Source organism: Homo sapiens, chromosome 10 (genome assembly GCF_000001405.40).
Source record: "Homo sapiens chromosome 10, GRCh38.p14 Primary Assembly".
Lineage (NCBI taxonomy): Eukaryota > Metazoa > Chordata > Mammalia > Primates > Hominidae > Homo > Homo sapiens.
This window is the reverse complement of record NC_000010.11, coordinates 119,569,934-119,573,464: the sequence shown is the minus strand read 5'-3', so window position 1 is coordinate 119,573,464 and position 3,531 is coordinate 119,569,934.

Genomic DNA, 3,531 nt, shown 5'->3' with positions numbered 1-3,531 from the left:
CATGTGACTGAAGTGTCCTTCATCTTAATCTGAAAGAGGGCAAAATTTCATGATCAGTTAATGGAAGTTATTTCATATTAAGTGGTTTTTTTTTTTTTTTTTTTTTAGATGGAGTCTTGCTCTGTCGCCAGGCTGGAGTACATGTAGTGATGAGAACTTGGCTCACCGCAACCTCTGCTTCCCAGATTCAAGCGATTCTCCTGCCTCAGCCTCCTGAGTAGCTGGGATTACAGTCACGTGCCACCATGCCCAGCTAATTTTTTTGTGTTTTTAGTAGAGATGGGGGTTTCACCATGTTGGCCAGGATGGTCTCGATCTCCTCACCTCGTGATCCGCCCGCCTCAGTCTCCCAAAGTGCTGGGACTACAAGCGTGAGCCACGGTGTCTGGCTTTTTTTTTTTTTTTTTTTTGAGACGGAGTCTTGCCCTGTCGCCAGGCTGGAGTGCAGTGGTGCAATCTCGGCTCACCGCAACCTCCGCCTCCTGGGTTCAAGCTATTCTCCTGCCTCAGCCTCCCGAGTAGCTGGACTACAGATGCATGCCACCATGTCTAGTAAATTTTTGTATTTTTAGTAGAGACAGGGTTTCACCATGTTGGCCAGGATGGTCTCAATCTCCTGACCTCGTGATCCACCCACCTCGGCCTCCCAAGGTGCTGGGATTACAGGCGTGAGCCACTGCACCTGGCCATTAAGTGGTTTTTAAAATACAAAGCTACTTATCCAAATGAAATGTACCATTTAAAAACTACAACTGGGCCGGGCGCAGTGGCTCAGCCTGACCAACATGATGAAACCCTGTCTCCACTAAAAATACAAAATTAAGCGTGGTGGCCCGTGCCTGTAGTCTCAACTACTCAGGAGGCTGAGGCAGGAGAATCTCTTGAACCCAGGAGGCGGAGGTTGCCCTGAGCCAAGATTGTGCTATTGCACTCCACCCTGGGAAATAGAGCAAGACTCCGTCTCAAAAAAAAAAAAAGTGCAACTGTTGCCGGGCATGGTGGTTCACACCTGTAATCCCAGCACTTTGGGAAGCTGAGGCGGGTAGTGGATCACCTAAGGTCAGGAGTTTGAGACCAGCCCAGCCAACATGGTGAAACCCCATCTCTACTAAAAATAACAAAAAAATTAGCTGGGCGTGCTGGTGGGCGCTGGTAGTCCCAGTGACTTGGGAGGCTGAGGCAGGAGAATTGAACCTGGGAGGTGGAGGTTGCAGTGAGCTGAAAATGCGCCACTGCACTCCAGCCTGGGCGACAGAGCGAGACTCCATCTCAAAAAATAAATGAATTAATTAAAAGTATGGCTGTTGAGCTAACAGATGATTTTATAACATGACCCAATGCTATCTTGATCCAACTTAAGCCTAAGAATCGTTGCTCCCCACCCCGTTCATCAAAAACATCAGCAGAGACTTTTTGGGCATGCAAGGAAATGTTTTTTATTTCATAATTATTTTGAGATTTATTTTGGTGATGTGTTTCTGACTGACTGCCATATTCTTTGTTCTCATAATTTCTCTACTAGTATTTTCACTCCCAACCCCCGTGCCATTCCCACTTGATTTTTATGTCTGCTGGCAGTGAGAGGCTAAAATGGCCAACTTAAGCCAAAGCTGTAAACAACAGTTGAAGTAAGTCTTTCAATAAAGACTAGACTATATGATAAGTGGCTTTTTCTTATTGTCGTTTATTACATAATTATTCTACCAGGTTGCCATGAAATAAGCAACTGGGTTTTAAGTTTTCAGTAGTTATGTGGAGTATGTATGTAGTCAGGACCTATTTCCATGTTCTGTGTAAGTGTTAACAAGTCCATTAGCTTTGCTGAATTTAATCTCTGGATATGAAGGAGTAGAAATTTGCATCCTTCTAAAAATGCATGCTCTGTTTAATATTAATATATTAAAATTTATTAATTTGGAGTCCTCAGATACGGGAACTAATTTTACTGTCTAGGTTGCTCTTTGGTAGTATCTATGAGTAAAGATGATACTTGACAAAAATAATTTAATAAATGTTTTAGATACTTTACTAGTATGTCCAAATTAAATTTTCCCTATTAAAAGCATTTGAGCTTCTACTTAATACATTATAAACATTGACTTTGCAATTTTATTACGTATTGGAAAGATGCAAAACCTATTTCCTTTAGACTTTTACTAGTTTTTGTAAGCCTTCACTCTTAAGTGGTCCAAATGAGGGTTTTGCTTAAATGTGTATTCTACTATGTTTAGTAATTAAATATTCTCGTAATTGGCCAGGCACAGTGGCTCACACCTGTAATCCCAGCACTTTGGGAGGCTGGGGTGGGCAGATCACTTGAGGCCGGGAGTTCGATACCAGCCTGGCCAACATGGCAAAACCCCATCTCTACTAAAAATACACAAATTAGCCAGATGTGGTGGCGTGTGTCTGTGATCCCAGTTACTCAGGAGGCTAAGGCAGGAGAATCACTTGAAGCTGGGAGGTGGAGTTTGCAGTGTGCTGAGATTGTGTCACTACAATCCAGCCTGGGCAGCAGAGCAAGACTCTGTCTGAAAAATTAAAATATTCTAGTAATTATGTTTAAATAGGTTGCTGTAAATTAGATTGCCATCAATTCCATTTTCAAACAAGGAAATTATGTGAATATAACTTAAACTTTTTTTTTTTTTTTTGAGACAGAGTTTCGCTCTTGTTCCCCAGGCTGGAGTGCAATGGCACAATCTCAGCTCACTGCAACCTCCGCCTCCCGGGTTCAAGCGATTCTTCTGTCTCAGCCTCCTGAGTAGCTGGGATTACAGGCACCCGCCACTACGCCTGGCTAATTTTTGGTATTTTTAGTAGAAACGGGGTTTCACCATCTTGGCCAGGCTGGTCTTAAACTCCTGACCTCAGGTGATCCACCCGCCTCGGCCTCCCATAGTGCGGGGATTACAGGCGTGAGCCACCTTGCCCAGCCAACTTAAACATTTTATTGTTCCAGCTGGGCATGGTGTGACTCACGCCCGTGACCCCAGCACTTTGGGAGGTTGAGATGGGAGAATCACTTGAGCCCAAGAGTTTGAAGCTACAGTGAGCCATGATTGTGCCACTCCAGCCTGGCTGACAGAGTGTGAATCTCTGTCTCTAAAATACAATAAAAAAAAATTTAAATGCAATATTAGTATGAAACCTGGGCTCCTATTTTCTACTTACTGATTTTATTTTGAAAGATAGTGTAGAAAGGCCAGGTACTATAATTCATAAGCTACTTTGTGCAAATATTTCTTTTATGGGCAAAGATGACTTTTAGTTTTGGAATTGCCTAAATGTGGAAGAAATTTAATTTATATCTGGGAAATAGGGGTAGATGAAATCTATATAATTTGTTGTTTTTATTTTAAGGGGGATAAAAGGCACTGATAGCAATTGACTTTTTAATAGAATTAAGCTTTTGTGGCCGGGCGTGGTGGCTCACGCCTGTAATCCCAGCACTTTGAGAGGCCAAGGCGGGCGGATCACAAGGTCAGGAGATCGAGACCATCCTGCCTAACACGGTAAAACCCCATCTCT